The sequence below is a fragment of the Homo sapiens genome, chromosome 18 (genome assembly GCF_000001405.40).
Source record: "Homo sapiens chromosome 18, GRCh38.p14 Primary Assembly".
Taxonomy (NCBI): Eukaryota; Metazoa; Chordata; class Mammalia; order Primates; family Hominidae; genus Homo; species Homo sapiens.
The window spans coordinates 42,446,634-42,466,071 of NC_000018.10; the positions used below are offsets into that span (position 1 = coordinate 42,446,634).

The 19,438-nt window shown below is 39.2% G+C and overlaps 1 long non-coding RNA gene across 4 annotated transcripts in view; it reads left to right on the plus strand.

Moving 5' to 3' along the window:
• LINC00907 (long intergenic non-protein coding RNA 907) overlaps nucleotides 1-19,438 on the plus strand; it is a 504,759-nt gene that overhangs the window by 259,966 nt on the left and 225,355 nt on the right. For 2 of the 4 annotated variants that reach the window (NR_046174.2, NR_046454.1), the window contains 2 exons: nucleotides 7,299-7,465; nucleotides 8,274-8,356. This is a non-coding gene — a long non-coding RNA (long intergenic non-protein coding RNA 907). Of the gene's footprint in view, nucleotides 1-7,298; nucleotides 7,466-8,273; nucleotides 8,357-10,629; nucleotides 13,043-15,201; nucleotides 15,551-19,438 lie in introns of those variants that run through there. The other 2 variants (NR_046457.1, NR_046456.1) reach the window with 2 other exon arrangements.

Below are 19,438 nucleotides of genomic sequence, written 5' to 3' on the forward strand. Positions count from 1 at the left end.
TTTAGGGAGAAATTAGAGGAATAAGATTGCATGTGTCAGTCCAGGATAACATAGTCTAGATAAACTTTGTGTCTCCAGTCCTAATTATTAACTTAATGCCTTTCCATTATCTCTTTGGCTTGGAATCATGGTTATTTCCATGGAAAATGGGCTAAAATATCAGGGCATAAATAAGGAGAGTCTATATGTGTTATCCTGATAGGGTGGTATGTTAGTTTATTCTTGCATTGCTATAAAGAACTACCTGAAACTAGATAGTTCATATTTTAAAAAGGTTTAATTGATTCACAGTTCTGCAGGCTATATAGGAAGCAAGCTTGGAAGGGCTCAGGAAACTTACAATCATGGCAGAAGTTGAAGGGGAAGCAGGCATGTCTTATATGGCCAGAGAAGGAGGAAGAAAGGGAGGGGAGAGGTTCCATACACTTTTAAGCAAACAGATTGTGTGAGAACTCACTCACTATCATGAGAACAGCAAGGGAGAAGTCCACCCTTGTGATCTACATTACCTCCCACCACACCCCCTCTTCAACACCGGGGATCACAATTTGACATGAGATTTGACTAGGGACACAAATTCAAACCGTATATTTGCAACCCTGCCTGTTCCCAAATCTCATGCCCTTCTCACATTGCAAAATGCAATCAACTATTCTCAACAGTCCCCCAAGTCTTAACTCATCTCATTATCAGTATTAACACAGAAGTCCACAGTCCAAATTCTCATCTGAGACAAGGCAAGTCCCTTCTGCCTGTGAGACTGTAAAAACCAAAAACAAGTTAATACTTCCAAGATACAATGAAGATATGGGGATTGGCTAAATACTCCCATTCCAAAAGGCAGAAGTAGGCCAAAACAAAGGGCTACAAACCCCATGCAAGTCTGGAACCAAGCAAGGCAGTCATTAAATACTAAAGATCCAAAATAATCTCATTTGACTCCATGTCTCACACCCATGTCACACTGTTGCAAGGGGTGGGCTCTCAAGGACTTTTGCAGCTCTGTCCCTGTGGCTCTGCAGGGTACAGCCCCTGCAGCTGCTTTAAAAGGCTGGCATTTAGTGCCTGTGGCTTTTCCAGGTACATGGTGCAAGCTGTAGGTAGATCTATCATTTTGGGGTCTGGAGGATGGTGACCCTCTTCTCACAGCTCCACTAGGCAATTCTCTAGTGGGGACTTTGTGTTGGGGCTTCAACCCTACATTTTTCCTTCACACTGCCCTAGTAGAGGTTCTCCATGAGGGCTCCATCCCTGCCGCAGACTTCTGCATGGACATCCAAGTTTTTCCTTTCATCATTTGAAATCTAAGTGGAAGCTCCCAAGCATCAACTTTTGCCTTCTGCCTGCTCACAGGCTTAACACCACATGAAGGCTGCCTAGGCTTATGGTTTGCACCCTCTGGAGAAGAAGCCTGAGGCATATCTGGGGCCCTTTTAGTCACAGCTAGAGTTGGAGCAGCTGGGCTACAGAGACCAGTGTCCTGAAGTTGCATAGGGCAGCAGGGCTATAGGCCTGGTCCTGGAAACCATTCTTCCCTCCTAGGCCTCCAGGCCTGTGATGGGAGGAGCTGCCACAAAGTTCTCTGAAATGCTTTCAAGGCATTTTCCCCATTTTCTTGGCTATTAACATTCAGCTCCCCTTTACTTATGCAAATTTCTGAAGTGATTTGAATTCCTCTCCCAAAAATGGGGAGAGGAAATCTACATGGTCAGACTAAAAATTTCCTAAGCTTTTATTCCCTGCTTCCCTTTGAAATATAAATTCCAGTTTTAGATAATCTCTTTGCTCATATATATGACCATACATGAAGGAATCAGGCCAAATCTTGAATGCTTGCTGTTTAGAAATTTTTTTCTACCTGCTACCCTAAATCACCACTCTCAAGTTCAAAGTTCCACAGATCTCTTGAGCAGGAACAGAGTGCCACCAGTCTCTTTGCTAAAGCTTAGCAAAAGTTTCTTTTACTCCAGTTCCCAATAAGTTCCTTATATCCATCTGAGAACACCTCAGCCTGGACTTCAATGTCCATGTCACTATCGCACTTTGGTCACAACAATTTAACAAGTCTCTAGGAAGTTCCAAACTTACCCTCATATTCTTGTCTTCTTCTGAGCCCTCCTAACTGTTCAAACCTCTACCCATTACCCAGTTCCAAAGTTGCTTTCACATTTACAGTTATCTTTATAGCAATGCCCCACTTTCCAATACAAATTTTCTGTATTAGTCAGTTCTCACATTGCTATAAAGATACCTGAGAATGAGTAATTTATAAAGAAAAGAGGTTTAATTGACTCACAGTTCTGCAGGCTGTATAGGAAGCACAGCTTGGGAGGCCTCAGGAAATTTACAATCATGGCAGAAGGTGAAGGGGAAGTAAGCATGTCTTACATGGCCAGAGAAGGAGGAAGAGAGAGAGGGGAGAGGTGCCACACACTTTTAAGCAACAAAATCTTGTGAGAACTCACTCACTATCATGAGAACAGCAAGGAGGATATCTGCCCCCATGATCCAATTACCTCCCATGAGCCCCCTCCTCCAATATTGAGGATTACAATTCCAAATGCGATTTGGGCAGGAGCACAAATTCAAACTATATCAGGTGGCCAACTTGTTCCTGTTTGTCTATAAAAATGGAAAATCTTTATTTTCCCATTTTAGAACTGGAAACACCTTGTCCTGGAAATGCTTTCCATTCCCAGGAAAACAGGAACAGTTGATAACCTACATACTGAGCATTCAGATCACATTCCCATAGTAAGTGTATGTGTGTGTGTGTGTTTGTGTGCATGTGTGTACTTATTAAATCAGATTTATAAACTACTATATGACACATCCATCAATTAACATTTTGGGGTGTACAATTGTTTAATCAGATATTATCCATCTATTTATGATTTTTCATCTTGTCAAAAAATATGTCATGAGGGGCTTGTTTTTCTGACATCAGAATATAATAAATCAATACATCAGTTTTGCCATTGCAACAGACACATCAAAAACGACATAAATGTCATAAAATAATACTTTTTGAAAATTTGACAGAAATTAATATTAAACTCTCTGTTCAATAGAATATAGAACCTCCTAGGCCTCCAGGCCTCTTTTCAATTTACTATCATTTACTTTTTATTTTACTATCAGTTTTTTGCTTTTAAAGAATATGTGGCTTTGCAATTTAGGCAGAACTTGTCTTAAATTTTGTATCTTCCACTTGTACAAGTCATAACCTCTATTTCAAGTCATTCTATCTTTCATTTCCTCTATAAAGTCATGCTTTTTAGAAGACTTATATTTAATTGAGATAATACATGTAAAAGGTTTGATCCATTGCATATGTTCAATAAACATTAATTTACTTCTCCTCATTTTTTAAAAGCTAGTACTATGTTTGGCCATATCCTGTTTTATAATCTTCTCATAATTCTTTTGTAATAATTGACAGTGGTTTTGTAATAATATAGGTCAACTAGTGACATGACAGGACAGTAATTTATAAAGCAAAACTTTTATTCTCACAATACTAATTCATAAAATACTAATAACAAATGTATCTGATTACTGTCCAATGTGAGGCTAAGGACTGAATACTATTCTGTGCTCAATGAAAATGAAAACATTTACTTGAGGTGTGAACATGCTTTTGATGAGAATAATGAGTCCTTTCTTTCATGTTCATATTAAACAATTTTTGAATATTATTTAAATACTGGTACATCTTAACAAGCTGACTCTAATTACAGTAAACTAAGTCAAGGTGCCAGCCCCTGATTGATTAATTACTTGGTTGACTTGACTGAAGTTTGTCAAAATTAACTCTCAGTATATTTGTAGAGCCAGTAATGAAAATGAGTGCGGGATACTAAATACAAATACTAAATAAAATAAGATATTAAAGATATGTTTAGTTTATACAAACCTCTCATTTTAAAGAAGAAACAAAAAGTAAATGTTAGAAGTAACAGTTCCAAAATCACACAGAGAATTAGCAACAATTAGGACAAAAATTAAGAATCTTGGCATCTAATCAACACTGTCTCCACAACATTTTATATTTTAAAAAAGATATTCAGGGAGGGGCTTGAAAACAATGTGTTTTTTTCCAACATTCTGAACACATAAATTTTTTCAAGAAAATGCATTGATAGAATTTTTACTTAGATTTATATTTTGTATTCTAAAATTATTAAATACAGGGTCACTAATTAGCAGAGTGCAAGGAAACAACTACATTCCCATCGGAACAATTCTATTGGAAGATTACTCTGCTAACTGGTTTTTAGGGGTTGTTGCCGTGGCCAATTGACTGCTAACCCCTGCAGACAGTGGTATTATGTGATAGGTATCTATTCTTACTCCTTGTCCAGTTACATTAATTGATTGATGTTGATAAATCTTTATTTAATCACATCATGAGAAATAAGAAAAATGGCCTATTTAAGAACATCAGGATAACAGCCTTTTCCCAATGTGAACCAAGAGGATCATAACTCAAAATATCTACATTATCTTAAAAAGTGATCTTGGTAATGAATATTGTAATTGAATTTAGTACCAATAGCCAGAAGAAAATTGTACAAATTTAGTTATTAAAGGAGATTATGTTTACATTCTCCAAGAGAGTTGTTGCAAAGTTGCAATGATAACCAAGAAAGTACAGAGAGAAGAAAAAAGGATGCATTACTGAAATTCTCAATAGAAAAAAATAGACTAACCTGGACCTGAGAAGAACAAGATAAAGGCTGAGGGGCCCACGAGAAGGATGGTGTTGGGGGGATGTTGGGGAAATTCAGCAAAAATTGGATTTTGGGAGGCAGAGCAGGTTATTTGAAAAGGTTGGGTCATAAGGAGTATATATTTTAGATGTGTTAAACTCTTATCACATGCAGTTATATAAACTTATATTACTGAGGTGGGAAAGTTCAGTAGACAGTATAAGTCATGGGCATTAAGACTAAAGTAGAGAACGCAGTTGAAGCAATAGGTTCAGGAGCCATTGGCATTTGCGTGATACCATATTCCCACCATGTATCAAACCCTGTATATTATAATAAATTACCTTGTCCTGACTCCCCAGGAATTTGCTCATACTTCAGTAGATGAAACAGACAAATGAATCGGTTAAAATACAGAGTGACAAAAATCATGGTAAAATAATATATAAATGTCCTTTGGGATCTAGAGGGAGAAATTACCTCTAATTTGGTATTAGAATGGAGGATAGAAATTTGCTCAATGCAGAATGGTGGAAGAGCAGGCCAGGGAGAAGGCCAGAGTTGGTAAAGCCATGGAGGTGGAAAAGAAAACACAAAATTTTGAAGGACTCATTATGGATTCATCGTGGATAGCAAAGGGTGAATCAAATGTACATGAACTGAAGAGATAGCCCGTAGTGCCTTGTGAAGGGTGTTGTTAGTCCTATAAAGAATTTTGAACTTGTTTTTGTTGGGGAAATCATTAAATCGTTTTCATCAGAGAAGTGACATGATGAGATTTGCATCTCAGGAAGGTCAGTTAGGCTTTATGAGAAATGAACTAGAGGGAAAAAAGCAGAAGTTAGAAAGACTAGACAAGAGACCATTGCAATATCTAGGCAGGTGATGATGATGGCTTGAAACAAGAATTTTGAGAATTATTTAGGGGGTAGAATTAGTAGACTAGGTGAACGAATGAATATAAAGACCAGGAAAGAATAATAATTCAAATCAAAAACACAGGTTGTGGCATGATGGGTTCATTCCTCGAGATAGTTGTAACAAGTATCCAAGTAAAGAAAGAAGGATGTGATCTTGAACATATTGAGTTTGAGGAACTCATGAGAATCACAACTTGTCACCTTGACATATGAGTTTGGAACAAAGTAGAGAGGCATGAGATGAAGTAAAGACTAGGAATTATTACTAAGCTTTAGTTTTTTAGGGTTTTTTTTAAAGCCTCAAAATTAAATTAAATCTACTATGAAGAGCATGAAGAATGACGAAAGAAGTCTTCATGCAAAACCCTGAGAAACCCTAACATTATAGGCACAGGTAGAGAAAAATAACCTGTAATGCATTTAGAGGAGGCATCTATGTAGGAAGTAAACCAGAGAAATGTGGTGGTATTAGCTTGAATGTAGATAAAGTGGATGGTTGACTCTACCTTGAGGTGGAATAATACTGGGTAGATGTAATAAAGGAAAACTGGGGCAAAAATTTAAAAATTATGGTAAGATTGTTGCAGTGATCAGAAAATGGTAACTAAGAGAGTCCAAGAAAGAAAGACATGAGGCGATAAAAAAGTGTCAAACCCCAGAAATTCTCAATAATGTCAAGATATAGGTAAAGAGAGTAACAGAGTATAAGAAAGATAAAGATTGTGGTAAAGAGTTTTTTTCATATATGTACATTTAAAAATTCTACAAATAATGTATACATACATACTTATTGAAAGCAATTCAGGACATACAGAACTACAAAGAATGAAACATTAAAATATCTCCTTATTGTCCTCATTATTAACCTTTTTCCCAAAGAAATCACTCTTAGCAGTTTATTTATCCTTTTGGAAAATTCCTATGCATTTATACATACACATAGCTGTAAATGATTTATTTGCACAAAAATGGATTGTAATATTCTGATAAAAGTCCATTAAGATACGTTGTTAATTGACTTTTTTCATCTAACTATATGTTTTAGAAAACTTTCATATCAGCATATTTTTATCTACCTCGTTTGTATAAATAATTGCATGATATCCTGTATTATGCAATGACAATAATTTAGCCATTTCCTATTGTTGGGCAATTCAGTTATGTGAGAGCCGAATTTAAACGAAATGTTTCAGAAGTAAAATAACACTGGATGGTAGCGAAGTTTAGGGTGAGGGCAGTGGGTGGATGGCAGAAATAGGGTTGGGGAGGCACTGGTGATAAAAACACAGAGAGGAATTTACCAATTGTACAGTGGCTTAACACAAGGGGTACTGAGGGCACCTAGGGTGAAGACAGAAATGGAGCTGGGCCAAAGGGTAGTGTGCTTTAAGCTAAAGGAAGCAATGAAGAAGGATGAATGACCAGAAGCATGGTAGGTATTAGTGATGAGGAGGTATTCAAATTATATGATTAGGTAGAAAGAGCTGCAAGATGTCTTTTTCTTTCTTATTTTTCTTACTGAGGTCTAAATAGAAATGTTCTGGAAAAATCACTAGAGAGAGAGTAATGAGAATGATAACCATTTCTTTGACCTAGAGGCAAGGAAAATGAAGGAGAAAAAGAAATTTTCATTTGAGATGCATTTATTACAATTTGTATCCTTCAGGCACTTCTAGATATCTGTTGAGGCCTGGAAGGGGCAAAACAATTCAGGAAGCAGTTGAAGATAAAGGGGTTTACCATGGAAGAGAAGATCCAGGTGCCTTCATGGAAATGCTTGTGGTTGAAAAGAGATGAAGATGAGGGTCCCTGGAAAGAGGAAGAACCAGCCAGGTATGGTAGCTCATCCCTGTAATTCCAGCACTTTGGAAGACTGAGGCAGGAGGATCACTTGAGGTCAGGAGTTCAAGACCAGCCTGGTCAACATGGTGAAACCCTGCCTCTACTAAAAATACAAAAAAATAATAATAATAATTAGCTGGGTGTGGTGGTGGGCGTGTGTAATCCCAGCTACTCAGGAGGCTAAGGCAGGAGAATCGCTTGAACTGGGAGGCAGAGGTTGCCGTGAGCCGAGATCACGCCACTGCACTCCTGCCTGGGTGACAGAGCAAGACTCCATCTCAAAAAAACAAATTTTAAATTAAAAAAAAAGAGAGAGGAAGAACCAAGCAATGTGGAGTTGAGAGAAGAGGCAGGATATGAACAAGGGTGCTGGGAGTATATGGGAGTATGAGGTGGTAGGTTGAGACGGCCTCCTGATTTCCTCAACTTAGTCCTTCCATTGGCCAAGGAGGAATTGGGAGTGAGAGGATTCAGGCCTCTTAAGAGTTATTCATGACCTGAAGTGAGGGTGCTCATGAGAAAGTTCTGGTCACAGCAAAGAGGCTGACAATAGAAACCAGTCCCTGCAACTGCCACTTTGCACTAGAAATAGCCCCTCTCTCCCTCAGGCAGCAATGATATAGGGAGCAGTGTATCCATACCAGGGTCATCTCTGCAAGCGATTCTCCTAGTCTAGGCTCAATTTCCTCATTTTAAAATAAGTGACTACACTAAATTATATCCATAGTCAAAAATCAAAGATTCCACATATTACCCTTTAGTTCATAAAATTTTCTTTTTTCTTTCATTTTTTTTTTAGGAAAATTATACCATTAGCAAGACTGGCATCAGCAAGTAGTTCGCAGTGTTGGTTGTTCTTGGTTTCGCAGGATTTTATAGGAGGTATGACATTTATTTAAAATGGATTTGTTTCTTTGTTACTCCTATTCCATGCTGGCTAGACAGCTTTCCTTGGGGTCTCTCATCTATTTCAGTGCCATTCCATTCATCACTCACAAATCATTAATTTGCCTGTGTTGTGTTACCTCCTGAGATTTTCTGTTTCTGAGTCAATAGAGTTGAGAGCTAATGTACATTTCACAAATATTCCTGGGAAAGGGCTTGGAGCAAGAATTGAAGAGACTTTATATTTTAGTATAGCATATACCGTAATAACTCATTCCTTTTATATGAGTGTTGAAGAAGGGAACTGCCAGATTAGAGGCAAGTCCATCAAAATCATTCCTCCGTGTATTCAGTCAGACAGAGTTATGTTCAGCTGAGCTTAAATCATAAGCAGTGACTGAGCACCTATGATGTCCCTAGCATTGGGCTGGGATAAGATAATGGAAGGAACATGAAACATGGTTTTTCTCTCAAAATATTCACAATTAGTTGGAGAGACCAAAAACAACCAGGTAAACAGATAAATAAGGATCGAAAGTAAATAATATTAATTGTTAATAAAAGAAAAGGTATTACAAAGCAGAACTTAATTAATGAACAAATAAATTATACAGATAGGAATTGCCATAGACTTTGAAAGAAAATTGAGATATTTCGGGCTATAATAAACAGTGAAGATTTTGAGGTAAAGTTTAGTATTAGATCTTAGTGTCTTAAGTATATAGCTTAAAGTATAGGCAGGATTTGAACATTTAAACAGAATTAGGAAGGAGATATGCAAGGTGGCTGTTTGAGAACGATCTGAACAAACACATTAGGTTGAGAAATAGCACTGTGCATTTGCAGTAGGGGACATATGAGTGGAAGCATTACGAGTTGGAGCCAGATGACGGAGGCTATGGGAGATAAGCCTGAGGGTTTTGGTTTACAAGCAGTCTTTGTTCAGGACAAGGGAAATAGAACTCTGATATAGAAAGACATTTGAGTGTCAATAAGGAATGAACAGAGCTTGAAAGTAAGAAGACCATGAGATTGATGAGAACAGAGCAAAGTCCAAGGGAATGGGCCTGAACAGATGCAGTACAGTGGGAAAAGGTGAAAGAAACCCTGGGAAGAGGAGGATTGGCTCACTCACAAATGCCTATCCTCTTTCTGCATCCTATACACACTATATTCAGAGATATTGTACTAGTTGATCCCTCCACCTGCCATAATCTTCTTTCATAGCTTTGCACAGTTTTTTTTTTTTTTTTTGGTCTTTCATGATCTCAAAAAACTATCTATAAAAGTGCCATACATTTTCTATCACATCCCACTGCCTTATTTTCTTCCTAAAACTTCTACTATCTTAAAGTGTTTTATTCTTCATTCATTCATTTTTTGCTTGCTTATAGTAATATGGCTCCCTTGAAAAAGTGTAAGCTCTGCAAACAGAATTCTTGCCTACAAAGTTCATAACTGTAATCTGCAGCACCCAAAATAATGGCTGGTACACAGTAGTGCTAATAAATACTTGTTGATGAAGGAATGACAGTGAGAAAAAAGGTGCAATGATGTAAGCGTCATTTCTGAAGGCTGTAATTCTCATTATTATCATATGTGTAACGTGTAATAATGAGTTTATGCTTAAAGAATTGCAAATTAAAGTTTTGATGCCAATGACTAGCCGAAAATATTACCCCTAGGGAAATTAAATGTTGCACCAAAAATATAAGAATCTTTATTCCATTAACTTAAGTGCCCATAGGAATGATAGAGAATTTCTTCAAATTTATTGAAAGAATGCTTCAGACAGGTTCTAATATACTAGCAGCAATATCTCTAAGGTCTCCTTCCTTCCAATGCCAACACTCTTATGATTTTAAGTTACTGAATTCATAATCCAAATCAATATTCTTTTTATATAAGTACTCAGCAAGGGTAGCCACACACTTATTCCACTAAAACTTCAAATATCTGATATTTATGAATGTTACCATGGGGAACAATATTCATAGCCTATTTCAAGAACCACATAATTAAATATATCTCATAACTTTATATGCTTCAGTTTTTGTTTAAAGTTTTATGAGAGAAATAACTATATTTTTAAAAAAACACACATTGAGGCACTTGTTAAGATTCAATCAAATTTCTTTAACATAATCTAACACTGTGCAGTGATAAGTCAGAAGTATAAATTGAATTTCATGTTAAACTATGCATTTGTGATTAACTGAGGAGTGACTGAATCAAGATAAAAGTCAGTTTTATTTACATCTCTTATGCAGGTTACAAATAAAATATTGGATAGAAGCATATGGAACATTTCAGCATGCTTGCATTTTAGTCTGATGAACAGTCACCAACACAACCTTATTTGGAAGAATTAGAGTTCAAGACCATCCATACCCTCTAAGCAGGAGGGAGAAGCATAGGTTATCCTGTTTCTGCCACAGGTGGAATGACTTCCTTACCAAAGGGTAGGAAGGAGAGAACAGCATGACTAATGTACTCCAGGTGGCTAGTAGTGATAGAAATATTACTTTTTTTTTTTTTTTTTTGAGACGTAGTCTCACTCTGTTGCCCAGGCTGGAATGCAGTGGTGTGATCTCAGCTCACAGCAACCTCCCCCTCCCAGGTTCAAGTGATTCTCCTGCCTCAGCCTCCCAGATAGCTGGAATCACAGGCATGCTCCACCACATCCGGCTAATTTTTGTATTTTTAGTAGAGATGGGGTTTCGCCATGTTGGCCAGGCTGGTCTCAGACTCCTGACCTCAGGTGATCATCCCACCTCAGCCTCCCAAAGTGCTGAGATTACAGGCATGGGCCACCATGTCTGCCCAAAAAATTGCTACTTAATCTAAGCAGAACTAATTTAGGTAGAAAAGTTAGAAACCTAATTTTGATTGCAAAAGATTTTGTTCTTATTCATTCACTGCTATATGAAATATTTTTAGCAGAATTCAAAGCATGCCAGGGTTATGTTTAAAAGGAGACTTAAACAATCCTTTTACAGAGATAACTGTGAGCTAAATTCACAGAAAGCTGTAATTGAGTGGTATGAGCATCTCCACTAAGAGCATTGTTTGAGAAGTATGGAGGTAGGAAGAAGGATACAGGGGAGAAAGAAAGAAATAGCTCAGTAGGAAGAGAACATGGAATAAGCAAATCAGGGTTGAAAAAGGACTGTGCTTAACTTTATAATTTTGCTTCTAAAAGTCACTTTCTTTCAAAAACAAAAACAAAAAACAAAGAAAATAACTATAAGCAGTGGTTCTCTTCTCCTCTGCAAAGTTCTTCAGTCTAGCTTAAGAAAATTCCCTTGATCAGGAAATAAGTTAGATAAAAATCCCATGGGGTAAAACTATTGTGAAGTGATTATGAGCTTTCTCTCCTAAAAGGACCAGCCACCAAAACGTACAATAGCACAATCAACTCAGCCTCTGTGAGCCACATCAGGCATGTCTCAGTGGATCCAGTGTAAGTGTTTTTACTAGCAGGGGGTAAAAACGGTATTCCTTAGAAGATGAGGGTTCCACAGCCTATTTAACATAGACATGAGAAGCACTACAAGACAGAAGAAGTCTATGGCTTGACCCTATTAGATGATCTTCTGAGGTGTTTATTAATAAGTGATAGGTTGTGTTTTTTTTCAATGACAAAGCAAGGATTTTTTTCTTTTACAAGACATCAAAGGAGTTTGACTCTAATTTTCTCTGTGGAGATTTGGCTGAGAGTCTCTAGATTATGGTGATAACAACACCTAAGAGATTTATTTAAGAAGTGCCCCTTGGCCCTTCCTTCAGAGAATCCACAAATCTTTATTCAATTCTGTCAGTCTCTGGCAAGGGAAATGCCATTTAGTCCAGTGAACAATTAATAAATGGTGCTCAGTAAGTGCTAGTTGATGATAATGATAATAATGATGAGATGATGATGATGGTAATAGACTTATCTTGATTCAAAAATAAATGTGTAATGTATATGTATATATATGTTTATGTATATATGTGTAAATATATATGTTTCAAATTCTCTTCAGCCTTGAAAATGAAGATTGCACATTTTTCTTTACCATATGTAAAGGAATGCTTTCAGTTTCTGGTTTTCTGTGTAAAAATTCTAGGAGATTTTATCATCAATGCTTGCACTTAGTTTTGATGAGCAGTCATTTCTGAGCTGAACATAAAATGCTTCAGTAAAATAAATAGAAAAAGTTATTAGTCTGTAGTTCTTGGTGCAAAAATGATTTTTCCCAAAATTGTATGGATTAGAAAAGTATGGTAAAATAGTAGATTTTTAACTCCTATCCAAGCCATAAATCTCTTCTCAATCTTTAGGATTCTGTAAACTTTAACATGTACTGAGTTTACTCTGGAATACTCACAATCACTTACTCTCCTCCAAGCTCTCTCAGCCACGAATAAGATAGACAGATTTGATGTGTGGTTGGGAAATTTCCTCTTATAGGATGGAGTTGTGCAGGCAAGAAATAACTCTTAAGACAGTCTGGGGAATGAGTCTAAAACATGGGCCGACAGAGGGTAATGTGAGATTGTATAGGGGGATGTTTGAGGGCATAATAAATAAAGCAAGAGTGATGCACAGACATATTTTTGTCCTAGGAAAACAATGTAAATTTAGTAAAAATATGTTCAATATTTATTCCAATATATCTTACAATAAACCAAGAGAAATACAAAATTTGATGTCTTGTAGTTAAAGAGTAAACAATAAGGACTCTGCAATTTTCATCTCCTTCAGTCAGCCTGTATAATAGGTAGAGCTATTACCAATTCATTCATTCATTTGACAACTACTAATTGAGCTTTAACTGTGTGTCAGGCTTTGCAATAAGATCTGCTCTTTCAAGTCAGAATCAAACACTGTCCTTATCTGAAAGGAGCTCCCAGCTTGAAGGGGAGGAGGTATATACATATGCACTTAGGATATTGAGATAAGTGAGGCAGTGGTTTGTAAAGACCCTGGGAAGTACAAAGAATAAAAGCACCCATTTGTAAGGTGGGGCATAAACTGTCAAGGGCATCCACAGACAGGAGATGATAACCAAATTGAAGGATGAGTAGGAGCTTATCAAGCAGAGTGGAAAGGCCATTCCAGAATGACAGGCTCGCGGGCACAGGCATGATGCAGCAGGGATGATTCAGGAAGCTACAAGAAGTCTGGTGCAATTGCAGTAGGTGTTGTCTTGAGGGCAGTGATAGGTTTTGAGGTTAGAAAAATAGGCAGGCACCAATTCACAGAAAACTTTTTTGTAAAGCTATGAATTTTGAGCATGAGGCAGTCCTTAACTATATCAAATGTGAGAATATTTCTTAAAACCACATTTTTTCAGATGCACATGAGACAAAATAGTTACTAAATGAGAAAATATATAATGACATAGGGCCATAATTAATAATGCACTTAATAAATTTATGCTTATCACTACCAAAAAATTTATTGAACACTTACATTGTGCCCTTCATGGTACTGGGAAAGGAAGAGGTGCAATTTAGAAGAGACAATTCTCGTTCTTAAATTGGTTAGCATCTATTAAGGGAACAAATACTTGACAACCCAAAACAATACACTGTGAAAATTTCAATAATGGAGGGACCTGTAGGTGCAAAAGGGATTGCAGAGATGAGAGAATCCTAGGTTTTCTCAGAGGTGTCAGGGAAAGTGTCACAGAACGAGGCTTAGTTTACTTTTTGCAAAAGGAGTAGGAATTCTCTAGAAAGAAGCATTTCTATGAAGGAGGCAATAGGGCATTTTAGGCGGCGGAAACAGCTTGTGCAAAGGCTGAGGAGTCAGGAAAGGCAAAATATGAACTTACTAGAATGGCAACAAGGTCAAAGGGCAAAGAAATTATGACTGTGAAGATTTCTTTTTATCTAATTTGGAAAATGAAGAGTTAGTTCTCCAGCTGTGTAAGAGGTAGGCAGATTCTTGACCAACTAGTTTGGCATTAGGACTCCTGGGCATAAGAACTTTTAATTGGAACATCTAGTTATTAGTGGAATCTACGGCGATTCTCTATTTGCCTGAAATATCACAGTGAGAACAACAGAGGAAGCAGCTTTGTAGGAATTAAACAATATTATAAAAATGGAAATAAAACTGAAATTATATATGCTTCTAATTTGAAAATGCAGATCAGAGAGAAAATATCAAAATGGTAATAGCTGCATTTTAAAAGCACTATTTATCACTACTTTGCAACCTACTATTATTGGACTATTACCTTGATGATTAAACTTTTCAATTACATGTTGCATCGTATTAGGTTTTATACAATCATTAATTAGTTCACTCACATAAAACCCAGTGAGGAAGCTGAAAGATTTTATTACCTACTGTTTTACAGATGAGAAAACAAGGCAACAAGGTTAAGTGGCTTCCTGAATTTTTCCTATCGGGTCTGAGGCCTGCAGGATGGGAGTCTGGCCCCCAGCATGGCCTGCCTGGCATGGCTCCCTCAGTTCTGCTCCCAGCTTCACATGCTCCACTAATTGGGGATGGGTACCCCTGGTGTTCTTGAAAATTAATGATATTCAAAGCTACAAGATGTATCTGTTGTAGTCTATGTTTGTTTACTTGTGGCAATTAGTGACCATCTGCTCTGGAGGTGATGGTATTAGGCCCTCTTTTGGAAATAGTAACTTCTAGGAAGGAGACGCCCAGGCTATTAGGGAAGGAGGGCTGACAAATGAATGGGGTCTCGGGTTCTCCAGAGGGTGGAGAGACTGCATGTCAGACATGTAAGGAAAAAAGCAAACTGAGTCATTTATTCTCTTCTCTTGTTGCCTCTCCTTTTTCTCTATCTTCTGTCATCAAATCATGGTTACTTGCCCAGAGTTTCTGTCAGGCCTTTGAGCCCAAGCTAAGCCATCATACCCCTGTGACCTACACGTTATACATCCAGATGGCCTGAAGCAATTGAAGATCCACAAAATAAGTGAAAATAGCCTTAACGGATGACATTCCACCATTGTGATTTGTTTCCACCCCACCCTAACTGATACATATATTCTCCCCCACCCTTAAGAAGGTACTTCGGAATGTTCTCTCCCGCTCTTAAGAATGTGCTTTGTATGCCTATCCCAAACCTGTAAGAACTAATGATAATCCCACCACCCTTTGCTGACTCTTTTTTTTGGACTCAGCCCATCTGCACTCAGGTGAAATAAACAGCCTTGTTACTCACACAAAGCCTGTTTGGTGGTCTCTTCACATGGATGTGCGTGACATTTGGTGCCGTGACTAGGATTGGGGGCCCTCCCTTGGGAGATCAATCCCCTGTCCTCCTGCTCTTTGCTCCATGAGAAAGATCCACCTACGACTTTGGGTCCTTAGACCAACCAGCCCAAGGAACATCTCACCAATTTTAAATCGGGTAAGCAGCCTCTTTTTACTCTCTTCTCCAGCCTCTCTCAGTATCCCTCAATCTCTTTCTCCTTTCAATCTTGGCACCATCCTTCATTTCTCCCTTGTCTTAATTTCAGTTCATTTCCTTTTCTGGTAGAGACAGAGGAGATGCGTTTTATCCGTGAACCCAAAACTCCGGCACTGGTCATGGATTCAGGAAGACAGTCTTCCCTTGGTGTTTAATCACTGGAGGGATGCCTGCTTGATTATTCACCCACGTTTCAGAGGTGTCTGATCACAGTGGGGATGCCTGCTTTGATCCTTCACCCTTAGTGGCAAGCACCACTTTCCTGGGGGGCAAGCACACCCCACTCCTTCTCTTTGTGTCTCTACCCTCTCTTTTCTCTGGGCTTGCCTCCTTCACTATGGGCAAACTTCCACCGTCCATTCCTCCTTCTTCTCCCTTAGCCTGTGTTCTCAAAAACTTAAAACCTCTTCAACTCACACCTGACCTAAAACCTAAATGCCTTATTTTCTTCTGCAATGCTGCTTAACCCCAATACAAACTCGACAGTGGTTCCAAATAGCCAGAAAGTGGCACTTTTGATTTTTCCATCCAACAAGATCTAGATAATTCTTGTCGTAAAATGGGCAAACTGTCTGAGCTGCCTGATGTCCAGGCATTCTTTTACACATCAGTCCCTCTCTAGTCTCTGTTCTCAATGTGACTCGTCCCAAATCCTCCTTGTTTCCCTCCTGCCTGTCCCCTCAGTCCCAACCCCAAGCATCACTGTGTCTTTTCAATCTTCCTTTTCTACAGACCCATCTGACCTCTCCCCTCATCCCCAGACTGCTCCACCTCGGGTCACTCCCTGCCAGGCTGAATCAGGCTCCAATTCTTTCTCAGCCTCCACTCCCCCTACCCTATAATCCTTCTATCAACTCCCCTCCTCACACCCGGTCTGGCTTACACTTTCGTTCCACGACTAGCCCTCTCCCACTTGCCCAAAAATTTCCTCTTAAAGAGGTGGCTGGAGCTAAAGGCATAGTCAGGGTTAATGCTCCTTTTTCTTTATCCGACCTCTCCCAAATCAATTGGCATTTAGGCTCTTTTTCATCAAATATAAAAACCCAACTCAGTTCATGGCTCGTTTGGCAGCATCCCTGAGATGCTTTACAGCCCTAGACCCTGAAAGGTCAGAAGGCCGTCTTATTCTCAACATGCATTTTATTACCCAATCCACTCCCGACATTAAAAAAGCTCCAAAAATTAGATTCTGGCCCTCAAGCCCCCCAACAGGACTTAATTAACCTCGCCTTCAAGGTATACAATAATAGAGTAGAGTCAGCCAAGTGGCAACATATTTCTGAGTTGCAATTCCTTGCCTCCACTGTGAAAGAAACCCCAGCCACATCTCCAGCACACAAGAACTTCAAAATGCATACACCGCAGTGGTCAAGCATTCCTACAAGACCTCTTCCATCAGGATTTTACTTCAAGTGCCAGAAATCTGGCCACTGGGCCAAGGAATATCTGCAGTCCGGGATTCCTTCTAAGCCGTGTCCCATCTGCACAGGACCCCACTGAAAATCAGACTGTCCACTGAAACTCACCCGGCAGCCACTCCCAGAGCCCCTAGAACTCTGGCCCAAGGCTTTCTGACTGACTCCCTCCCAGATCTTCTTGGCTTAGTGACTGAAGACTAATCTCCCAATCACCTCAGAAGCTTCCTGGACCATCACAGATGCTTTGGGTAACTCTTACAGTGGAGGGTAAGTCCGTCCCCTTCTTAATGTGGAGCCTACCCACTCCACATTACCTTCTTTTCAATGGCCTGTTTCCCTTGCCCCCACAACTGTTGTGGGTATTGACGGCCAAGCTTCAAAACCCCTTAAAACTTCCCCACTCTGGTACCAACTTGGACAATATTCTTTTATGCACTCTTTTTTAGTTATCCCCACCTGCCCAGTTCACTTATTAGGCTGAGACATTTTAACCAATTTATCTGCTTCCCTGACTATTCCTGGACTACAGCCACATCTCATTGCCACCCTTCTTCCCAACCCAAAGCCTCCTTTGCATCTTCCTCTCATATCCCCCTACCTTAACCCACAAATATGGGACAACTCTACTCCCTTTCCTGGCAACCGATCACATGCCCATTACTAGCCCATTAAAACCTAATCACCCTTATCCTGCTCAATGCCAGTATCCCATCCCACAACAGGCTTTAAGGGGATTGAAGCCTGTTATCACTCACCTGCCACTGCATGTACTTCTAAAACTTATAAACTCTCCTTACAATTCTCCCATTTTACGTGTCCAAAAACTGGACAAGTCCTACAGGTTAGTTCAGGATCTGCACCTTATCAACCAAATTGTTTTGCCTATCCACCCTGTGGTGCTCAACCCATACACCCTTTTGTTCTCAATACCTTCCTCCACAACTCACTATTCCGTTCTTGATCTTAAAGATGCTTTTTTCACTATTCCCCTGCACCCCTTGTCCCAGCCACTCCTTGCTTTTACCTGGGATGACCCTGACACCCATCAGTCCCAGCAGCTTACCTGGGCTGTACTGCCACAAGGCTTCAGGGGTAGCCCTCATTACTTCAGCCAAGCTCTTTCTCATGATTTACTTTCTTTCCACCCCTCCACTTCTCACCTTATTCAATATATTGATGAACTTCTACTTTGGAGCCCCTCCTTTGAATCTTCTCAACAAGACACCCTCCTGCTCCTTCAACATTTATTCTCCAAGGGATATCGGGTATCCCCCTCCAAACCTCAAATTTCTTCTCCATCTGTTACCTACCTCGGCATAATTCTTCATGAAAACAAACTTGCTCTCCCTGCTGATTGTGTCTGACTGATCTCTCAAACCCTGACCCCTTCTACAAAACAACAACTCCTTTCCTTCCTGGGAATGGTTGGATAATTTTTAGAGGCCCTCAAAATCACAAACTATGCTCAACTCACTCTCTGCAGTTCTCATAACTTCCAAAATCAATTTTCTTCCTCACACCTGACACATATACTTTCTGCTCCCCGACTCCTTCAGCTATACTCACTCTTTGTTGAGTCTCCCTCAATTGCCATTGTTCCTGGCCCAGACTTCAATCTAGCCTCCCACATTATTCCAGATACCACACCTGACCCCCATGATGGTATCTCTCTGATCCACCTGACATTCACCCCATTTCCCCATATTTCCTTCTTTCCTGTTCCTCACCCTGATCACACTTGGTTTATTGATGGCAGTTCCACCAAGCCTAATCATCACTCACCAGCAAAGGCAGGCTTTGCTATATTATCTTTCACATTTATCATTAAGGCTACCGCTCTGCCCCCTCCACTACCTCTCAGCAAGCCAAACTCATTGCCTTTACTTGAGCCGTCACTCTTGAAAAGGGACTACGTGTCAATATTTATACCGACTCTAAATATGCCTTCCATATCCTGCACCACCATGCTGTTATAGGGGCAGAAAGAAGTTTCCTCACTACACAGGGTTCCTACATCATTAATGCGTCTTTAATAAAAACTCTTCTCAAGGCCACTTTACTTCCAAAGGAAGCTGGAGTCATTCACTGCAAGGACCATCAAAAGGTGTCAGATCCCATTGCTCTGGGGAGCGCTTATGCTGATAAGGTAGCTAAAGAAGCAGCTAGTATTCCAACTTCTGTCCCTCATGGCCAGTTTTTCTCCTTGTCATTGGTCACTC